The 21,094-nt window shown below is 45.2% G+C and overlaps 1 protein-coding gene across 2 annotated transcripts in view, besides 4 other annotated features; it reads left to right on the top strand.

Moving 5' to 3' along the window:
• Window positions 18,700-19,614: an enhancer, noted in NCBI's record as "NANOG-H3K27ac-H3K4me1 hESC enhancer chr1:31538408-31539322 (GRCh37/hg19 assembly coordinates)". NCBI's record gives its function as "activates a minimal SCP1, AML or CMV promoter by ChIP-STARR-seq in naive H9 embryonic stem cells {active_cell/tissue: H9 hESC(naive)}" and the evidence as "EXISTENCE:reporter gene assay evidence [ECO:0000049][PMID:30033119]".
• Window positions 18,700-19,801: a biological region, named in NCBI's record as "NANOG-H3K27ac-H3K4me1 hESC enhancer GRCh37_chr1:31538408-31539322".
• Window positions 19,152-19,371: a silencer, noted in NCBI's record as "silent region_564". NCBI's record gives its function as "represses an Ori minimal core promoter by ATAC-STARR-seq in GM12878 lymphoblastoid cells {active_cell/tissue: GM12878}" and the evidence as "EXISTENCE:reporter gene assay evidence [ECO:0000049][PMID:35858748]".
• The window catches only part of PUM1 (pumilio RNA binding family member 1), a 134,212-nt gene continuing 132,575 nt past the window's right edge, over window positions 19,458-21,094 (top strand). For both annotated transcript variants that reach the window (NM_014676.3, NM_001020658.2), the window contains exon 1: window positions 19,458-19,559. The gene's annotated coding sequence lies outside the window, so the exon portion shown is untranslated. The remainder of the gene's footprint in view (window positions 19,560-21,094) is intronic.
• Window positions 19,482-19,801: an enhancer, noted in NCBI's record as "active region_638". NCBI's record gives its function as "activates an Ori minimal core promoter by ATAC-STARR-seq in GM12878 lymphoblastoid cells {active_cell/tissue: GM12878}" and the evidence as "EXISTENCE:reporter gene assay evidence [ECO:0000049][PMID:35858748]".

Here is a 21,094-nt window from a genome sequence, read left to right as displayed (position 1 = left end):
AGATTGTTTATCTCCAGACCAGTGCTTGTTTGGCTGTCAGAGAAAAAGAAAAACCTTGTGGCTGGGCGCAGTGGCTCAAACCCATAATCCCAGCACTTTGGGAGGCCAAGGCTGGCAGATCACCTGAGGTCAGGAGTTCAAGGCCAACCTGGCCAACATGGTGAAATCCGTCTCTACTAAAAATACAAAAATTAGCTTAGCATGGTGGTGCATGCCTGTAATCCCAGCTACTCAGGAGACTGAGGCAGGAGAATCGCTTGAACCTAGGAATCGGAGGTTGCAGTGAACCGAGGTCACACCACTGCACTCCAGCCTGGGCAGTAGAGTGAGAGTCCGTCTCAAAAAAAAAAAAAGAAAAGAAAGAAAGAAAAACCTGTGGCAGTTAGAACATAGTTTGTTCTTTAAGTGTAGGGGTGGATGGCTTAACCCTTGCCTAGCATGGCCTTGAGTATTGTTTTTTTGTTTTTTTTGTTTTTAGTAGAGATGGGGTTTTGCCATGTTGGCCAGGCTGGTTTCGAACTCCTGACCTCAGGTGATTCGCCTGCCTCGCCTCCAAAAATGCTGGGATTACAGGCGTGAGCCATGGTGCCCGGTCGAGTATTGTTTATAATTTGGTATCTTATTGTCACAAAGAGTCTGTTTCATCAGTCTTATGATTTCTATTTTCGCATTAATGCTGGCCACCTGTGTCCAAAAAGGAGTGGTATAGTGAGGTGTGTCTAACCTCTCTTGCCAGTTTTTAAGGGTTCTCTTGGATCCTCTAGGCCAAGAGGGAGTCTGGTTGGTTTTAAAATTTTTATTTTTAGTCCTCACAGTACATTGTTATAATTGTTCCATTTTATTATTTGTTGTTAATCTCCTACTGTGCCTAGTTCATAAATTAAACTTTGTGATAGGTATATACATGTAGGAAAAAACAGTTTATAGAGGGTTTGGTACTATCTGAAGTTTCAGGCATTCACTGGGAGGTGTTACCTGTGTCCCCTGTGGATAAGTGGGGGGACTACAGTATTTTCTTTGATTAACTGGCGATTTTTGCCTTTCACATTTATGCCTTTATTCCATCAGGAGCCTACCTTTGTTTTTGTGTTAAGCAGTCACCAGGTTTATTGAGAGCCAGCTTTGCCAGCACCACCTCCTAAGTAAGCCATCCCTTCCCCGGTGATTGTGGTGTTGCTTTTCTTGTGTATTAAGTTCTCATATCTACATAGGCTTGGCTCCAAGCTTTCTAGTTTATTCCATTGGTCTATTTGTCTGTTCTTGAACAATGCCACAATGAATTTTGTTGCTATGGTTTTGTAGTATGCCCTAATATCTAGGAAGCCCAATCCTCCCTGTTCATTCAGCCTTTCTTTTTTTTTTTTGAGACGGAGTCTCGCTCTGTCACCCAGGCTGGAGTGCTGTGGCGTGATCTCGGATCACCACAAGCTCCACCTCCTGGGTTCACGCCATTCTCCTGCCTCAGTCTCCCGAGTAGCTGGGACTACAGGTGTCTGCCACCATGCCCGATTAATTTTTTTTTTTTCATATTTTTAGTAGAGATGGGGTTTCACCATCTTGGCCAGGCTGGTCTCGATTTCCTGACCTTGTGATCTGCCGGCCTCGGCCTCCCAAAGTGCTGGGATTAGAGGCATGTGAAACCGCGCCTGGCCCATTCAGGCTTTCCAAGATGGAACTTTATTTGTGGACCTTTAATCTGGAATTATTGTTATTGGGACTGCAATTAATTTATGGAATATTAGGGAGTGGTGACATGTATATAATGTTTGGTTATTTCATCTAAGACTAGTCTCTTTGTTTATATGTTCATCACTATGCTTTTTTTTTTTTAATTTTTTTTGTAGAGACAAGTTCTTGCTATTATTTCCCAGTCTGGTCCCTAAATCCTGGGCCCAAGCAGTCCTCCCACCTCTGCCTCCCAAAGTGCTGGGATTACAGGTATGAACCACTATGTCCAGCCTTTCAATATAATCTTTAAGTTTTCTCTGTATATGTCTGCATGTTTTTGCTTAGTTCTTAAATACATTAAGGTTTCTGTTAGTATTCTGACATTTTTCTTTCTTTCTGTTGTCTAGGCTGGAGTGCAGAGGCAAGATCACAGTTCACTGCAACCTTGACTTCCCAGGCTCAAGCCAGCTTATGATCTTAGCCTCTCAAATAGCTGGGACCACAGGTGTGCCCCACCACACTGGCTAATTTATTTTTATTTTTATTTATTTTACTGTATTGTATTTTATTTTTTGAGATGGAGTTTCACTTTTGTTGCCCAGGCTGGAGTGCAGTGGCGCAACCTTGGCTCACTGCAACCTCTGCCTCCCAGGTTTAAGTGATTCTCCTGCCTCAGCCTCCTGAGTAGCCAGGTGCCTGCCACCATACCTGGCTAATTTTTTTTTTTTTTTGTATTTTTATTAGAGATGGGGTTTCACCATGTTGGCCAGGCTGGTCTTGAACTCCTGACCTCAGGTGATCCACCTGCCTCGGCCTCCCTTTAAGTGCTGGGATTACAGGCATGAGCCACCACGCCCAGCCTTATTTTTATTTTTGGTAGAGAGGAGGTCTCCCTATGTTGCCTAGGCTGATCTCACACTCATGGCCTCAGATGATCCTCCTGCCTCAGCCTCGTAAAGTTCTGGGATTATAGGTGTGAGCCACCACACCCAGCCTCTTATTTTTTGAATTGTATTTTCTCTGGTTATTGCTGGTAGAGAAATTTTCTTGATGTTAGTGGTTTGATAATATATTCAGCAACATTGTGTAGCCTTTGCATAGGTTCTAATAGTTTTTCTGATGATTCTGTTGGCTTTTCCCAGTAGATAGATATATGCAAGCCGTGATAATTTCAGCTCTTTCCTTTGAATCCTTATTTATTTATTTATTTATTGGACAGAGTCTCACTTTGTCACCGAGGCTGGAGTGCAGTGGCATGATTTTGGCTCACTGCAACCTCCACCTTCCTGGTTCAAGCAATTGTCCTGCCTCAGCCTCCTGAGTAGCTGGGATTACAAGCGCGTGCCACCAAACCCGGCTAATTTTTGTATTTTTAGTGAAGTTGGGGTTTCACCATATTGGCCGAGCTGGTCTTGAACTTCTGATCTCAGGTGATCCACCTGCCTCAGCCTCCCAAAGTGCTGGGATTACAGGTGTAAGCCACCGTGCCTGGCCTCCTATCCTTTTTTTTTTCTTTGAGACAGAGTCTCACTCTGTTACCCTGGCTGGAATGCAGTGGCCCAATCTCGGCTTACCTTGGCTCACTGAAACCTCCGCCTCCCAGGTTCAAGCAATTCTCATGCCTCAGTCTCCCTAGTAGCTGGGACTACAGGCATGCACCATCACACTCAGCTAATTTTTGTATTTTTCATAGAGATGGGGTTGTGCCATGTTGCCCAGACTAGTCTCAAACTCCTGGCCTCAAGTGATCCACCCGCCTCAGCCTCCCAAAGTACTGGGATTACAGTTGTGAGCCACCACGTTCGCCCTGAAACCTCATCCGTTTTAAGTCCTTTGTTTTTCCTCACAGCATTGCCCAGATCTCTAGTCATGTGGTAAACAAGAGTGGTGATTGGGCATCCTGGTTATTTTCTTTATTATTATTGTTATTTAAAAAAATTTTTGCTCATGCCTGTAATCCCAGCACTTTTGGAGGCCGAAGCAGGTGGATCACCTGAGGTCAGGAGTTTGAGACCAGCCTGAAAAACATGGTGAAACCCTGTCTCTACTAAAAATACAAAAATTAGCCAGATGTGGTGGCAGACGCCTGTAATCCCAGCTACTCTGGAGGCTGAGGCATAAGAATCACTTGAACCCAGGAGGCAGAGGTTGCAGTGAGCCAAGATCTGAGATCGTGCCATTGCACTCCAGCCTGGGTGACAGAGGGAGACTCTGTCTCAAAAAAAAAAAAAAAAAATTGCAAATATATGGCCCCTCTCTGTCACCCAGGCTGGAGTGCAGTGACACAATCTTGGCTCAACGCACCCTCGACCTCCTGCGCTCCAGCGATCCTCCCACCTCAGCCTCATGAGTTGCTGAGACCATAGACCCGCACTACTATGCTGGGCCTCTGGCCTTTGTTTTCAATTTAAAAGAAGTGTGCCAAAAAAGTCTCCATTAAATGCAATATTGGCTTAGATTTTTGGTATAAAACATTTACCAAGTTAAGATTCTACTCTCAGCTTTCTGAGCTTAAAAAATATAGCCAGGCATAGTGGCTTGCGCCTGTAATCTCAGCACTTTGGGAGGCTGGGGTGAGCAGATCACGAGGTCAGGAGTTTGAGATCAGCTTGACCAACATGGAGAAATCCCATGTCTACTGAAAATATAAAATTATCCGGGCGTGGTGGCGTGCACCTGTAATCCCAGCTACTCAGGAGGCTGAGGCAGGAGAAACGCTTGAACCCTGTAGGCAGAGGTTGCAGTGAGCCGAGATTGTGCCATTGCACCCCAGTCTGGGCAACAGAGTGAGACTTTGTGCCAAAAAAAAAAAAAAAAAAAAAAAAAAAAAAAAAAATATATATATATATATATATATATATATATATATATATATATATGTATGTATGTATATAATACATCTGAGCTACACAGAGGATTGCTCGAGCACAGGAGATTGAGGCTGCAGTGAACTGTGATCTTGGGCCTGCATTCCAGCCTGGGCCACAGAGCCAGATGCTATCTCAAATAATAATAATAATATAATAATAATAATAATAATAATAATAGGTTGACCAGCCCGTGCAACTTAGTGAGACCCTATCTTTACAAAAAAAAAAATTGGCCAGCTGCGATGGTTCACACCTGTAATCCCAACACTGAGAGGCCGAGGCAGGTGAATCATTTGAGATCTTGAACTCCTCCTGGGCTCAACTGATCAACCTGCCTCGGCCTCCCCAAGTGCTGGGATTACAGGCATGAGCCAATGCACTCAGCCTGGATAATATATCTTTAATATCACAAACAGAGTCACGGTGTCCACTGAACAACAGTGTTTATATACATATTTTCCCTTGAACAGATATGTCTAGTAATTTTCTACACTTTAAAAAATGTTCCGCAAGATCATAAAATTGACCAAGGGTATCTCCACGGAGAGTAACAGCCAACAAATCTTTTGCAGTTTTAATTCTTATGTTAATATTCTCTTGGCTTTTGCCTTGTAAGAATCCACATGGGTTTCCTTTCTTTTTCCTTTAGGCTTTTGCTCTGTAACTTTTTCTTATTTCTTGATTGAATTCCTTAGCCTGTTCATTTTGAACAATTTTATCTCCTAAAAAATGTATTTAAATTTCATATTTTCCCCCAAGTTCCGTTTTTGCTCTGACCCACAAATTTTGATGTGTAGTGTTTTCATTATTCATTTCTAAGCAATTTCCTCTACAATTGTCTTTTTTTTTTTTTTTTGAGAGGAGTCTCGCTCTGTCACCCAGGCTGGAGTGCGGTGGCATAATCTCAGCTCACTGCAACCTCTGCCTCCTGGGTTCAAGCAATTCTCATGCCTCAGCCTCCCGAGTAGCTGGGATTACAGGTGTGCGCCACCACGACCGGCTAATTTTTGTATTTTTAGTAGAGACAGGGTTTCACCATGTTGGCCAGGCTGGTCTCAAACTCCTGTCCTAAAGTGATTCGCCCGCCTCGGCCTATCAAAGTGCTGGGATTACAGGCATGATCTGCCATGCCCGGCCTCCTCTACAATTATCTTAACTCAATAGTTTTTTAATAACGTTGTTTAGTTTCAAGTACAGGATTTGTGGTTTTCTTTCTTTCTTCTTTTCTTTTCTTTTTTCTTTTGAGGCGGAGTCTTGCTCTGTCGCCCAGGCTGGAGTGCAATGGCTCAATCTCAGCTCACTGCAAGCTCCGCCTCCTGGGTTCACACCATTCTCCTGCCTCAGCCGCTTGAGTAGCTGGGACTACAGGCGCCCGCCACCATGACGGCTAATTTTTTGTATTTTTAGTAGAGACAAGGTTTCACCGTGTTAGCGAGGATGGTCTCGATCTGACCTCGTGATCCGGCCACCTCGGCCTCCCAAAGTGCTGGGATTACAGGTGTGAGCCACCGCGCCTGGCCTCTTCTTTTCTTTTCTTTTTTCTTTTTTGAGACAGGGTCTTGCTCAGGCTAGAGTGCAGTGGCATGACCACAGCTTACTGCAGCCTTAACCTCCTGAGCTCAAGCAATCCTCCCACTTCAGCCTCTGGAGAAGCTGGGACTACAGGCAGATGCCATTGTGCACAGCTAATTTTTAAATTTTTAGTACAGACAGGTCTTGCTATGTTGCCTAGGCTGGTCTTAAATGCCTGGGCTCAAGCATCCTGCCCCAGCATCCTAAAGTGTTAGGATTTCAGGCATAAGCCACTGCATCTAGACAGATTTTACATATTTTGTCTATTTGCTCTATTTTGAAAGAAGTATGTTGAAAACTATAATGGTTAATGTATCTGTTTTTTCCTGCAGCTCTGTCGGTCACATTTCTGTATTTGCAGGCTGTGTTAATTTTGTTGTTGTTGTTGTTATTTTTTGTTTGTTTGTTTGTTTGTTTGTTTTTGAGACAGGGTCTCACTCTGTCATCCAGGCTGGAGTGCAGTGGCTCAGTCTTGGCTCACTGCAACCTCTGTCTCCCAGGCTCAAGAGATTCTCCCACCTCAGCCTCCCGAGTAGCTGGGATTATGGGTGTGTGCCACCATGCCCCGCTAATTTTTGTATTTTTAGTAGAGACAGGGTTTCACCACGTTGGCCAGGCTGGTCTCAAACCCCTGACCACAGGTGATCCACCTGCCTCGGCCTCCCAAAGTGCTGGGATTACAGGCGTGAGCCACTGCACCCGGCTCAGGCTGTGTTATTGATACTATAGTTTATCATGAACAGCTGGGCACAGTAGCGCACACCTATAATCCCAGCACTTTGGGAGGCCAAGGCAGGAGGAATGCTTGAGCCCAAGATTTGAGACCAGCCTGGGTACCATGGCAAGACCCCCATCTCTACCGAAAAAAAAAAAAAAGACAAGCTAGTCGAAAAATGATGAGATAAATAGAAAGGAAAAAAACAACAGAATAACCCCAGAAACAGAAACATAGACTGAAGGATATAATAAGCAAAATGATTGGGAGAGGGCTGTGCACTTTGGGAGGCTGACAGATCACTTGAGCCCAGGAGTTTGTGACCAGCCTGGGTAATGCAGTGAGACTCTCCTACTCCCCTGCTCCAAAAAAAATTAGCCAGGCATCTGCCAGGTGCAGTGGCTCATGCCTGTAATCCCAGCACTTTGGGGGACTGAGGCAGGTGGATCATCTGACCCCAGGAGTCAAAGACCAGCCTGGCTAACATGGTGAAACCCTGTCTCTACTAAAAATACAAAAATTGGCCAGGTGCAGTGGCTCACACCTGTAATCCCAGCACTTTGGGAGGCTGAAGCAGGCGGATCATGAGGTCAAGAGATCGAGACCATCCTGGCCAACATGGTGAAACCCAGCCTCTACTAAAAATACAAAAAACTAGCTGGGCATGGTCGTGGGTGCCTGTTGTCCCAGCCACTTGGGAGGCTGAGGCAGGACAATCACTTGAACCCAGGAGGCGGAGGTTGCAGTGAGCCGAGATTTCACCACTGCACTCCAGCCTGGCAACAGAGCGAGACTCCATCTTAAAAAAAAAAAAAGAAATCGCCAGGCATGGTGGTGTATACCTGTGGTCCCATCTACTTAGGAGGCTGAGATGGGAGGATTGATTGAGCTCAGGAGGGTGAGGCTGCAGTGAGCTATGATCACACCACTGCACTCCAGCCTGAGTGACAGAGCAAGACCTTGTTTGTAAAAAAGTAAATAAAGTTTACCATGGCCATATATTCTTTTTTTTTTTTTTTTTTTTTTTTTGAGACGGAGTCTCTCTCCATTGCCCAGGCTGGAGTGCAGTGGCAGGATCTCGGCTCACTGCAACCTTCGCCTCCTGGGTTCAAGCAATTCTCCTGCCTCAGCCTCCCAAGTACATGGGATTACAGGCACCTGCCACCACACCCAGCTAATTTTTGTATTTTTAGTAGAGATGGGTTTTTGCCATGTTGGCCAGGCTGGTCTCGAACTCCTGACCTCAGGTGATCCACCAGCCTTGGCCTCCCTAAGTGCTGGGATTACAGGGGTGAGCCACCATGCCCGGCCCACATATTCATTTTATCAATATATAACATACTTATTTACCCTCTACCCTTAGTATATATATGTGTGTGTACGTATGTATGTATACATACTTTTTTTTTTTTTTTGAGGCAGATTTTTGCTCTCATTGCCCAGGCTGGAGTGCAATGGCATAATCTCGGCTCACCACAACCTCTGCCTCCCGGGTTCAAGCGATTCTCCTGCCTCAGCCTCCTGAGTAGCTGGGATGACAGGTATTCACCACCACGTCTGGCTAATTTTGTATTTTTAGTAGAGACAGAGCTTCTCCATGTTGGTCAGGCTGGTCTCGAACTCCCAACCTCAGGTGATCTGCCTGACTTGGCCTCCCAAAGTGCTGGGATTACAGGTGTGAGCCACCGTGCTGGGCCCACCTACATATATTTTTAAATTAGAGTCAATTTTCTATGGTAGTTTTAGGCTCACAGCAAAATTGAGCAGAAAGTACAGAAAGTTCCCATGCACCCCCTGCCTTTACAAACGCACAGCCTCCACCACTATCAACATCCAGCACCAGAATGGTACATTTGTTACAATCAATGAACCTACATTGACACATCATCACCACCCCAAATCCATATTTACATTAGAGTTCACAATTGGTTTTGCACATTTTATGAGTTTTGACAAATGTATAATGGCATGTATACTCTTTTTTTTTTTTTTTTTTTTTGAGACAGAGTCTCTCTCTGTCGCCCAGCCTGGAGTGCAGTGGCGCGATCTCGGCTCACTGTAGCCTCTGCCTCCCAGGTTCCAGCAATTCTCCTACCTCAGCCTCCTGGGTAGATGGGATTACAGGCAAGTGCCACCACACCTGGCTAATTTTTGTATTATTATTATTTTTTAATAGAGACGGGGTTTCACCATGTTGGCCATGCTGGTCTTGAACTCCTGACCTCAGGTGATCCGCCTGCCTCTGCCTCCCAAAGTGTTGGGATTACAGGCGTGAGCCACTGGGCCCAGCCATGTCCACTTGTATACTATCATACAGAGTAGCCCTTATTGATATTTTTAAACCTAAGTTTATCATATCACATATTTACATTTTTATACTCGCTTTCTTTAGGTTCATATTTAGGTGGTATTTATTTTTAACTATCCCTCTTATAATCTTACCCAATCATAGCTTTTTTTTTTTTTGAGATGGCGTCTTGCTCTGTCTCCCAGGCTGGAGTGCAGTGGCACGATCTCAGCTCACTGCAAGCTCCGCCTCCCGGGTTCAAGTGATTCTCCCACCTCAGCCTCCCAAGTAGCTGGGATGACAGGCGCGCACCACCATGCCCAGGCTAATTTTTGTATTTTTAGTGGAGATGGGGTTTCACTATGTTGGCCATGCTTGTCTCCAACTCCTGACCTCAAGTGATCCATCTGCCTTGGCCTCCCAAAATGTTGGGATTACAGGAGTGCACCACCATGCCCAGCCAGCCCCATCATAGCATTCTTGTATTTAGTGGTAAGTTTAACCCTTCTATATTTATTGGAATTACTCTTAAGACTTTTTTCTGCTATATTTTATATCTCCTATTTACTGTACATTGTTTTTGTTCTTTTCACAACAAAGTTTTCTTCTTCTGGTTTAAAAGTTATAAATACTGCCAGGTGCCATGGCTCATGCCTATAATCCCAGCACTTTGGGAGGCCGAACCAGGCGAATCACCTGAGGTCAGGAGTTTGAGACCAGCCTGGCCAACATGACAAAATCCTGTCTCTACTAAAAATATAAAAATTAGGCTGGGCTTGGTGGCTCACATCTGTAATCCCAGGACTTTGGGAGGCCAAGGCTGGTGGATCTCGAGGTCAAGAAATCAAGACCATCCTGCCAACATGGTGAAACCCTGTCTCTACTAAAAATACAAAAATTAGCTGGGCATGGTGGTGTGCACCTGTAGTCCCAACTACTCGGGAGGCTGAGGCAGGAGAATCCCTTGATCCCTGCAGAGGTTGCAGTGAGCCGAGATCACGCCACTGCACTCCAGCCTGGCGACAGAGCGAGAATCCATCTAAAAAAAAAAAAAAAAAAAAAAGACCAGGTGAGGTGGCTTATGCCTGTAATCCCAGCACTTTGGGAGGCCAAGGTGGGTGGATCACCTGAGGTCAGGAGTTCAAGACCAGCCTGACCAACATGGAGAAAGTCTCTACTAAAAACACAAAAAATTAGCTGGGCGTGGTGGCAGGTGCCTGTAGTCCCAGCTACTTGGGAGGCTGAGGCAGGAGAATGGTGTGAACCCGGGAGGCTGAGCCGAGATTGTGTCAGTGCACTCCAGCCTGGGTGACAGAGCTAGACTCCGTCTAAATTAAAAAAAAAAAAAATTTAACTGGCTGTGGTGGCAGGTGCCTGTAATCTCAGCTACTCAGGAGGAGGCTGAGGAAGAATCACTTGAACCTGGGAGGCAGAGGTTGTAGTGAGCCAACATCGCGCCACTGCACTCCAGCCTGGGCAACAGAGTAAGACTCCATCCCTAAATAAATAAATAAATAAATAAAATAGCTGGGCATGGTGGCTCATGCCTGTAATCCCAGCACTTTGGGAGGCCAAAGCAGGAAGATATCTTGAACCCAGGAGTTCAAAATCAGCCTGGTCAACACAGTGAGACTTTTGCTCTACAGAATAAAAATAAAAAAATTAGGAAGGTGTGGTGGTACATGCCTGTAGTCCCAGCTAATGGGGAGGCTGAGGCAGGAGGATCACCTGGGCCCAGGAGATCGAGGCTGCAGTGAGCCATGATTGTGCCAGAGAGAGAGCCTGTGTCAAAATAAAATAAATTAAAAAAAAAAAGTCAAAATACGCTGGGTATTGTGGTTCACAACACTTTGGGAGGCCAAGGTGGGCAGATCACCTGAGACCAGGAGTTGGAGACCAGCCTGGGCAACACAGTGGGACTCTGTCTCTACAAAAAACTGAAAAATTAGCTGGGTGTGATGGTGCCTGCCTGTAGTCCCAGCTGCTCAGGAGGCTGAGGTGGGAAGATTGCTTGAGACTGGGAGGTTGAGGCTTCAGTGGGCCATGATGGTGCCACTGCACTCCAGGCTAGGTGACACTGTGAGATGTTGCCTCAAAAATAAATAAACAAATAAACAAATAACAAAAAAACAAAATAAAATAAAAACACCACTCCAGATCTCAAACAAGTCTTTGACAAAAACAAAGACCAAACACCATTCACCGTCTTAGCTATCTGTCAGGAAATACCTCACCTGGAAAAGTAGTTCTAAATATGGGGTTTACATCCCTCAGTTTCCTTCCTTTCAGAAATCCTGGCTCGGTAATTCTTCACTACCTTGTTGGCTTTCCAATAATATCAAGCAGAGATCTTTAAAATATTTTTCCAATTTTACCAGCGTTGGTCAGAATTACATAGTTACCAATACCAGACGTCCAAATTCTTCCTCACTCCTACTTTCCCATGGGAAAAGCACTCTAAGAATCACGACTTGCTATGAAACAAAATGACAGTGGAAATGCTAACAGTGTAACAATTACCTAAGCACCAAAACAATGAACTGAAGTGCCATCCAAGGGAGATTCTACAAATAGAAGAACACAAGTGTAACATAGTTGAAAAAGCAACTCAAACACTTATAACAAAATATCCACCTCCCCCAAAGAGAAAAATCCTTTCTGAAAATTGAGGGATGTAAACTTTACTTGGGAATGCTTTACATTCAGTTTACAAATACCAGATGATAGTAACATACTAGCCAAGTACAGGTGGTTGTAAGAGAATGAAAATCTGTGGAATTGTATCACAGTTGTCTATTGTGGACTTTGTTCTCATGGTCAGCAGGGCCAGGTTGGCTGATTCACCACTAAGCCTCCGAGCACACCTTGAGAACCGCTACCCTATGAAGAAGTAGCATTCAAAATTCCTGAACCCAGGCTTTCTAGAATGACCTACACTAAAAGTTTCTATTTTGAGATTTCTATCATTCTCTGATTAGGTTACAATGGAATGGATTAGGTTTTACTGATTAGATAAATAAAAATACCCTTCTCAAATCCACCTTAATCCTCTCCCTGGGTCAGCTTGATTAGATTTTAAGTTTCACAAACCCCCAAAGTTTGATGATATTGTCTATTATGTATCCGCTTAACCAGATGAATTGAGAAGATTGCCAAGTTTTAGACATGATTTCCACATTGTCTTGATCAGACAACACTCAGCAAACAGCCTTAGACAATGTTTGGATAAATACTAATCCGTTTCCTTTACCTCTTCAAGTTTTGGTTTTCTCATCTTTTTTAAAATTAGTTTTTAATTTTGTTTAAATTATTATTTTTTTAGAGACAGAGTCTCTGTTGCCCAGGCTGGCAAGCAGTGGTGTCATCATGGCTCACTGCATCCTTGACCTCCAGGGCCTAAGCCAGTGAGAGTGGCAGGAGGCAGACAAATGCCTAGGCAGATAAGGGTGAGTCCCGGGTGAAACCCCACCTCCAAGCTGAAGACCGTTTAAAGCCTGAAGCCCAAGCTACAAGTTAAATCCTCCGACTGTATTGAGAACTTTCTTCCTGTTTGGTGTACTTTCCTCTGATTGGGCCCCACCCTTCACCTGTTTTACATATACCTACCCTTTCCTAATTGGTTTTTCTACACTGTTGTGCCCACCTTTGAGTGGTGTCTTTACTTGAACCTTTTTTGCATACTCACAAACCAGTCAGCACACACTCTCCATTCTAAGTCCATAAAGGGCCCCAGACCCAACCACCTGGGGGACTTGCCCGCTTTCAAGTAGGGTAGGGGAACCACCCCTCACATCCCCTCTGCTGAGAGCTTTCCTTTTGCTTAATAAATTCTACTCCACTCACTCTCCAGTGTCCATATTCCTAATTTTTCCTTTTTCTAGGTAAAGAACTCAGACCTAGCTGAGCTAAGGAGCAGAAAGACTGCAACGCCATCCTCCCACCTCAGCCTCCTGAGTAGCTGGGACCACGGGTATGCACCACCATGCCTGGCTAATTTTTTTAATTTTTAAATTGTTTTTGTAGAGATGGGGATCTCACTATGCTGCCCAAGCTGGTCTTGAACTCCTGAGCTCAAGCAATTGGGGATTACAGGCCATAAGCCACCATGCCCAGCCAGTTTTCTCATGGGAAATGGGAATAATAATTTTGTCCATGTCATAGATATTTTGGGAGTTTTAAATGAAATAATGACTATAAAAGTCTTTTTTGTTTGTTTGTTTGTTTGTTTTTGACAGAGTCTTGCTCTATCACCCAGGCTAGAGAGCAGTGGTGTGATCTCTGCTCACTGCAACCTCTGCCTCCCAGGTTCAAGAAATTCTCCTGCCTTAGCCTCCTCAGTAGCTGGAATTACAGGCATGCAGCACCACACCTGGCTAATTTTTTTGTATTTTTAGTAGAGGCAGGATTTTGCCACACCGGCAGGCTGGTCTTGAACTCCTGACCTCAAGTGATCTGCATGCCTTGGCATCCCAAAATGCTGGGATTACAGGCTAATTTTTGTACTTTTTAGTACAGAGTTCTGTCATGTTGCCCAGGCTGATCTCAGACTCCTGAGCTCAAGCGATCTGCCTGCCTCAGCCTCCCAAAGTGCTGGGATTACAGGCGTGAACCACCGCGCCAGGCAATTATAGAAGTCTTAACACGGTGTGTGGCACAGGTAAACATTTGCTAACAGGACAGTCTCTAGTGTTTGTTGGAGGCACTGCTCTGATAGGATTATTTGGGTGCTGAGCTGGTGCCTCAGGCCCTGGAAGGTAATTCTTTAAGGGAAATCTATGGATGAGTGTCAAGTGTTCTGTTGGGATTGCATCATTTGACTGGATGGGGAGGCAGCTGAAGGTTGGTTCCACGTGGCTGTGGCTAAACTGACTTTAGAATCTATACACCAGGCCTGGTGAGGTGGTTCACGCCTGTAATCCCAGCACTTTGGGAGGGCGAGGCGGGTGGATCACCTGAGGTCAGGAGTTCGAGACCAGCCTGGCCAACATAGTGAAACTCCATCTCTACTAAAAATACAAAAAATTAGCCTGGCATGGTGGCGGGTGCCTGTAATCCCAGCTACTCCGGAGGCTGAGGTAGGAGAATTGCCTCAACCCGGGAGGCGGAAGTTGAAGTGAGCCGAGGTCATGCCATTGCACTCCAGCCTGGGCAACAAGAGCAAAACTCCATCTCAAAAAAAAAAAAAAAGAAAAAAAAAGAAAAAGAAAAAAAGAAAAAAAGAATCTCTACACCTGAATAATAAAAGCTAAAGTTAAAACTAAGGAGTGGCTGGACACGGTGGCTCACGCCTGTGATCCCAGTACTTTGGGAGGCTGAGGCGGGCAGATCACTTGAGGTCAGGAGTTCGAGACCAGCCTGGCCAACATGGTGAAACCCCGTCTCTACTAAAAATACAAAAATCAGTTGGGTGTGGTAGCGCAGGCCTGTAATCCCAGCTACTAGGAATACTGAGGCAGGAGAATTGCTTGAACCCAGGGGGCTGAGGTCACGCCACTGTACTCTAGCCTGGGCGACAGAGCGAGGCTCTGGCTCAAAACAAACAAACAAACAAAACCTAAGGAGTTAGTCATGGATCTCAGAATGAAATCATGGAGCACAGAACGTGTGGTAAGGTTCTGAAAACTGAAATCTTTGTAACTTTCTCATGTGTGCTCATTTGCTCAATTTCCCCCTGCAGGTTTTCCTATTATAGTTACCAGCACTTTGCAATGTCCTGGCCCGATGGGGCTAAATGCTTTATCAGCTTTATTTCATTCAGTGCTATTCTATTAGACCCATGTTATAGGGGAGAAAATGGAGGCTCAGAGAGATTAAGTAAATGATTTCTTGTCTGGCTCAAGCGCTGGATTTCCGAATACAACATCTTATGGAGTTGTTGAATTTGAATTTTGGGAGGCCGAGGCAGTAGGATTGCTTGAGCCCAGGAGTTTGAGGTTACAGTGAGCAGTAATCACCACTGAACTCCAGCCTGGGTGACAGAATGAGACCTCATTTCAAAAAAATAAAAGTGTCAACACTCAAATTCAACAACCCCATAAGGTGTTGTATTCGGAAATCCAGCTCTTGAGCCAGACCAGCCTGGGCAACATGGGGAAACCTAATCTCTATTCTTTAAAATAATAATAATAATAATAATTCTGTATCAGATACTTTTTTTTTTTTTCCTTGAGAGGGAGTCTGGCTATATGGCCTAGGGTGGTCTCGTACTTCTGCGCTCAAAAGATCTTACTTCTTCAGTTTCTGGAATAACTGGGATTACTGATGTGAGTCACTGCACCTGGCTGTATCAGACACTACCGTGTGCTAGTTAATTTAACCATCGTAACATGCAAGAAAAGTATAGATATCCTCATTTAACAGATGAGGGAGCTGGACTCATGCTCTCAAGGTCACATGGCTAGAAAATAGCAAAGCTCACATCTTTAACTTCCAACTCATTCAGAGATTAAAATCTCTGTCTTCTATTTTTTTAAACAAAAGTAACATTCTGTTTTTTAAAGTAAAGATAGGCTGGGCGTGGTGGCTCATGCCTGTAATCCTGGCACTCTGGGATGCCGAGGCAGGCGGATCACTTGAGGTCAGGAGTTCAAGACTAGCCTGGCCAACGTGACGAAACCCCGTCTCTACTAAAAATAGGAAAACTAGCTGGGCGTGTTGGTGCACACCTGTAATCCCAGCTACTCAGGAGGCTGAGGCAGGAGGATTGCTTAAACCTGGGAGGCAGAGGTTGCAGTGAGCCGAGATTGTGCCACTGCACTCCAGCCTGGGCGACAGAGTGAGACTCCATCTCAAAAAAAATTAAAAAAAAAAAAAAAAGATAATACATGCTCAAACAATGTAAACAACATGGATACCAATTTTCTTATACACTTGTAGAAACACTATGTTAATAATCATTTTAATTTTGGCCAGTGTGTTTAATGGATGAAAATATTATACTTTAAAGTTGCATTTCTTTTATTAGTTATTTTTTCTCATCTTTTACAGCTTTGAGATTATATATATATATAAAACTTTTTTTTTGAGACGGAAACTTGCTCTGTCGCCAGGCTGGAATCCAGTGTCGAGATCTCGTCACACTGCAACCTCCGCCTCCCAGTCTCAAGTGATTCTCCTGCCTCAGCCTCCCAAGTAGCTGGGACTACAAGTGCACACCACCACGCCCAGCTAATTTTTGTATTTTTAGTAGAGACAGGGTTTCACCATGTTGGTCAGGATGTTCTCGATCTCAGGACCTCATGATCCGCTTGCCTCGGCCTCCCAAATTGCTGGGATTACGGGCATGAGTCACCGTGCCCGGCCGATATATATTTCATATACCATAAAACTCACTATTTTATTTTATTTTATTTTATTTTTTTGAGGCGGAGTCTGGCTCTTGTCACCCAGGCTGGAGTGCAATGGTGCAATCTCTACTCACTGCAACCTCTGCCTTCCGTGTTCAAGTGATTCTCCTGCCTCAGTCTCCCAAGTAGCTGGTATTACAGGCACCTGACACTACGCCCAGCTAATTTTTGTATTCTTAGTAGAGATGAGGTTTCACCATGTTGGCCAGGCTGGTCTTGAACTCCTGACCTCCAGTCATCAGCCTGCTTCAGCCTCCCAAAGTTTTGGGATTACAGGCATGAGCCACCATACACGGCCTAAAATTCACTAATTTACCAGCCTGGGCAACACAGGGTGAACTCATCTCAAAACAAAAACAAAAACAAAAAAATTAGCTAAGTGTGTTGGTGCATGGCTGAAGTTCCAACTTCTTAGGAGGCCAAGGTGAGAGGATCGCTTGGGCCCTGGAGTTCAAGCCTACAAGTGAGCCATGGTTACACCACTGCACTCTAACCTGGGAGACCCTGTCTCGAAAAACAAAAGTAAAATACAAATTCACCATTTAAATCATAAAGTGTCTACTTTGGTGGTTTATGGTATACTCACAGTTTTGCAACCGTCATCGCACTCTAATTTTAAAAGGTTTTCAACACTCCAAAAGGAGACCCCATACCCATTAGCAGTACCTTCCCATTTCTGCTCTTTCATCCCTCAACCCCAGGCTACTTTTATGTTTCTTGGCTGTATGTGATTTTGTTATGTTTGTTTATTTTGGATTTATTTTATTTTGGATTTATTTCTTTCCTTTTGACATGGAATCTCATTCTGTTTCCCAGGCAGTGCTTCATCTCAGCTCACTGCAACCTCCACCTCCTGGGTTCAAGCGATTCTCTTGCCTCGGCCTCCAGAGTAACTGGGATTACAGGCGCCCATAACCACGCTCGGCTAATTTTTGTAGTTTTAGTAGAGATGGGGTTTCACCATGTTGGCCAGGCTGGTCTCGAACTCCTGACCTCAAGTGATCTGCCTGCCTCGGCCTCCCAAAGTGTTCAGATTGCAGGCATGAGCCGCTGCGCCCAGCCCATTTCGGATTTTTAGAAATTGATTACAGATTTTATTTATTTATTTATTTGATACAGGGCCTCTTTCTGTCTCCTAGGCTGGAATGTAGTGGCCCAATCATAGCTCATTGCAGCTCAATTCCTGGGCTCAAGGGAATTCTCCTGCTTTAGCTCCCAAGTAGCTAGGACTACAGATGTGTGCCACCATGCCCAGATAATTTTTAACTTTTTGTAGAGACGAGGCCTCACTATGTTGCCCAGCCTGGTCTCAAACTGCTGGCCTCAACCAATTCTACCACCTCTGCCTCCCAAAGTGCTGGGATTACAGGTGTGAGCCACCCCACCAGGACCCTGATGGGAGAAATTTTGCATTTATCATGATGATCAACCATTTCCTTATCATGTGTATTGCAAATATATATATATGTATATATACGTATATATATGTTTATATATGTATATATGTGTATATATGTATATATGTATATATGTGTATATATGTATATATGTGTATATATATGTATATATGTATATATACATATATGTGTATATATATATATTTTTTTTCTTGAGACGGAGTCTTGCTCTGTCATCAGGCTGGAGTGCAGTGGCACAATATTGGCTCACTGCAACCTCTGCCTCCTGGGTTCAAGTGATTCTCCTGCCTCAGCCTCCCCAGTAGCTGGGACCACAGGCGCCCGCCACCACTCCCGGCTAATTTTTTTGTATTTTTAGTAGAGACGGGGTTTCACCATGTTGGCCAGGATGGTCTTGATCTCTTGACCTCATGATCCACCCGCCTCGGCCTCCCAAAGTGCTGGGATTACAGGCATGAGCCATCGCGCCTGGCCGTGTACTGCAAATATTTTTTATCCATTTGTTCTACTTTGTTGATGGCATCTCTTCTCGTACAGATGTTTATATTTCTTTCAATATTTTCTTTTATGATCTTTTGACTTTGATTCATGAGTATAAACATTTTCCCTCCTCCAATTATAGAGCTTCTCCCCATATCTTCTTCTGGTCTTTTACAGTATTGCGATTTGTCTGTTTTCAATCTATTTTTTTTTTTTTTTTGAGACGGAGCCTCTCCGTGTCGCCCAGGCTCAAGTGCAGTGGCGCGATCTCTGCTCACTGCAAGCTCCGCCTCCCAGGTTCAGGCCATTCTCCTGCCTCAGCCTCCCGAGTAGCTGGGACTACAGGTGCCCGCCACCACGCCCGGCTAATTTTTTTGTATTTTTAGTAGAGACAGGGTTTCACCATGTTAGCCAGGATGGTCTCGATCTCCTGACCTCATGATCCGCCCGCCTCAGCCTCCCAAAGTCCAGGGATTACAGGCGTGAGCCACCGCGCCCGGCCTTCAATCTATTTTGAGTTTAGTTTGAGACAGTAAGACTAAAAGCACTTAACATACATTATTCCACTTAATCCTCCAGGCCATTCTGTTAAGTGGGGGTTATTTTCTTCTTCATTGTACAAATGTGGAAATGGAGGCAGGTCGATTTAAATAAGGCCGCAGAGCTAGAAAGCTGCAGAGAAGGGGTTTGAACCCTGCACCTCTGGGGCCAGGGCAGTGCGGGTGGCCGTCCGCGAACCCTGCTAGCTGTGGTGCTCGGGGGCAAGCTTCCGAGGGCGCGGCGGGCGCGAGGAGCGCGTCCGAGACTCGGTGGAGCGTCACCGGCGCAACCCCGCGTGCCCAGCTCCAGGCCGTGTTCTCCCAGGTGCGGGCCGGCGGGACCCCGCCTTCGGCCCTGGCGGCGCGCGCTCGCCTAGCGGGCGGGCACTCGCGCGCAGCGTTTGTGTTGCCTGCGAGTTTCCCGAGTTCACACAGGCCCTGGGTTGGCATGGCAACCAGGCAACCTGTTCCAGAGCCGCCAGCCTTCTCCGCACATGCCGCTGCCACCGCCGGGGCCGGGGCCGGAGCCTATCCCAGGATGCACCGCGCCAACCCAGTCCCCAGTGGGCCGCCATGTTGTCGGAGTGAAAGGTAAGGGGGAGCGAGAGCGCCAGAGAGAGAAGATCGGGGGGCTGAAATCCATCTTCATCCTACCGCTCCGCCCGTGAGTATCCGCACCCCACCGGCCCCAAACGCTGCTCCGGACCCCTAACGAGCAGATTGTCCCTTCATATTGGTGTTTGAGAGTGGTTGTGGGGGTGAGAAGGGCTTTGGAAAAGCCGCCGGGGCCCTGGCTGAGGCTTCTCACTCGCTGTTCCTCGTACATGTTTTGGAGTCAGCAGCAAGGCCCCTATTGTTATCAAAGGAGGGAGGGGGTGGGGAGCGGGGTCGAAGCTAGGAAAATGCTGGGGGTTTAGGCCCGAGCCCAGGGCGTAGACGTGCCTCTACATTTTTGCCTGGCCCTGTTGGGAACCACCGAAGATTGATGTTGCCATTCGGGTTGCTTTTTTTGATGGGTTTGCGAAGCCCCGAGTCTTCTGTGTGGCCATGAAGTGTAATTCTGTGCCACCCCGATTTCTTCGACTTCTTGAGCTTCCGTGGCAGCGCCGGAGGAGGAGGAACAATAAATCGCTTTAGAAGCAGCCGTGGCCCTTGTCCACAGGCGAGATTCACCGTGGGGGAACTTTGCGAGCCTTAAATGTGGAGAAGTGGCGATCAGGAAGTTTCAGAATGCTTTTTAGGCTCCTGGGTTGCTGTGGCCTTTTGTTTCCGTGTGAGCTTGTGTTTTTGGTGGGTTCTTCCTTTTTGAGCCTCCCGGTGTTGGTGTCTCTCTTCACTCAAAGAGGGGTTCACCCCTTGCTAGTAGGAAAATCTAGATACACAATACTAGTTTTAGTCCTCACAAACATGCTTGGTAAACATAGATCATTTGTTTTACTTGTCAGTACCATTCCCACGTCAAGTGAGGAATACACTCCTGTAACTTTTCCCTCCTATAGCCCCCCCCCCCCCCCCCGCTGAAAAAACAAAGCCAGAAACCCACACACAGCATTACCAGAGAAGGCTTTATTCTCCCGTAACTTAGATTGTTACCTTTTATTGTTCAATTAAGAAAACACTGTTCTCAGCCCTCGATACCATTTTGCTCAATTCCTGTTATTACTGGGATTAATTAAGAATAAGATTTTATGAAGCTTTTCCTGGGTTCTGTTTTAAAGTCAGTTAACTTCTGAAACAATAGGCTTAGCATTTTGTTTCTTGAAAGCACCTAAAAACTTACTAAGACAGGCCCAACCCCAAGAAATGTGGCTTCCGATGCAGTTTTCGTAAGCAAAATAAACATTTTGACCCTTTGCTAATTTTAACTTTATAAAACACTGGGGGGCTGTTGATTCTTTATCTGGGCTCTTGGGAAACGCTCTCCGGATTCTGAACTTTGAGTTAGTGTTTTGCTTTAGCGACAATTGAATTCATTTTGTTCAAGGCCACAGCTTTTTGAAGTTGGAATTTGTTTAGTTTAGGTTTAAAATGAACTGTTTTAAGATAAATTTATGACCACAGAATGTTTGTTAAGTGTGGTAAAAATAAACACCTTTTAAACCACTAAGCATTTTAGTAAAAGGTGAGCCATGGAAATAAAGTAAACCGTGTTCCTTTGAATTCAACTCAATTAGTGATATTTTAAAAAACTTTGTAAAC

The sequence above is a fragment of the Homo sapiens genome, chromosome 1, assembly GCF_000001405.40.
Source record: "Homo sapiens chromosome 1, GRCh38.p14 Primary Assembly".
In the NCBI taxonomy this organism is placed as follows: domain Eukaryota; kingdom Metazoa; phylum Chordata; class Mammalia; order Primates; family Hominidae; genus Homo; species Homo sapiens.
This window is presented reverse-complemented; position numbering and strand designations above follow the sequence as displayed.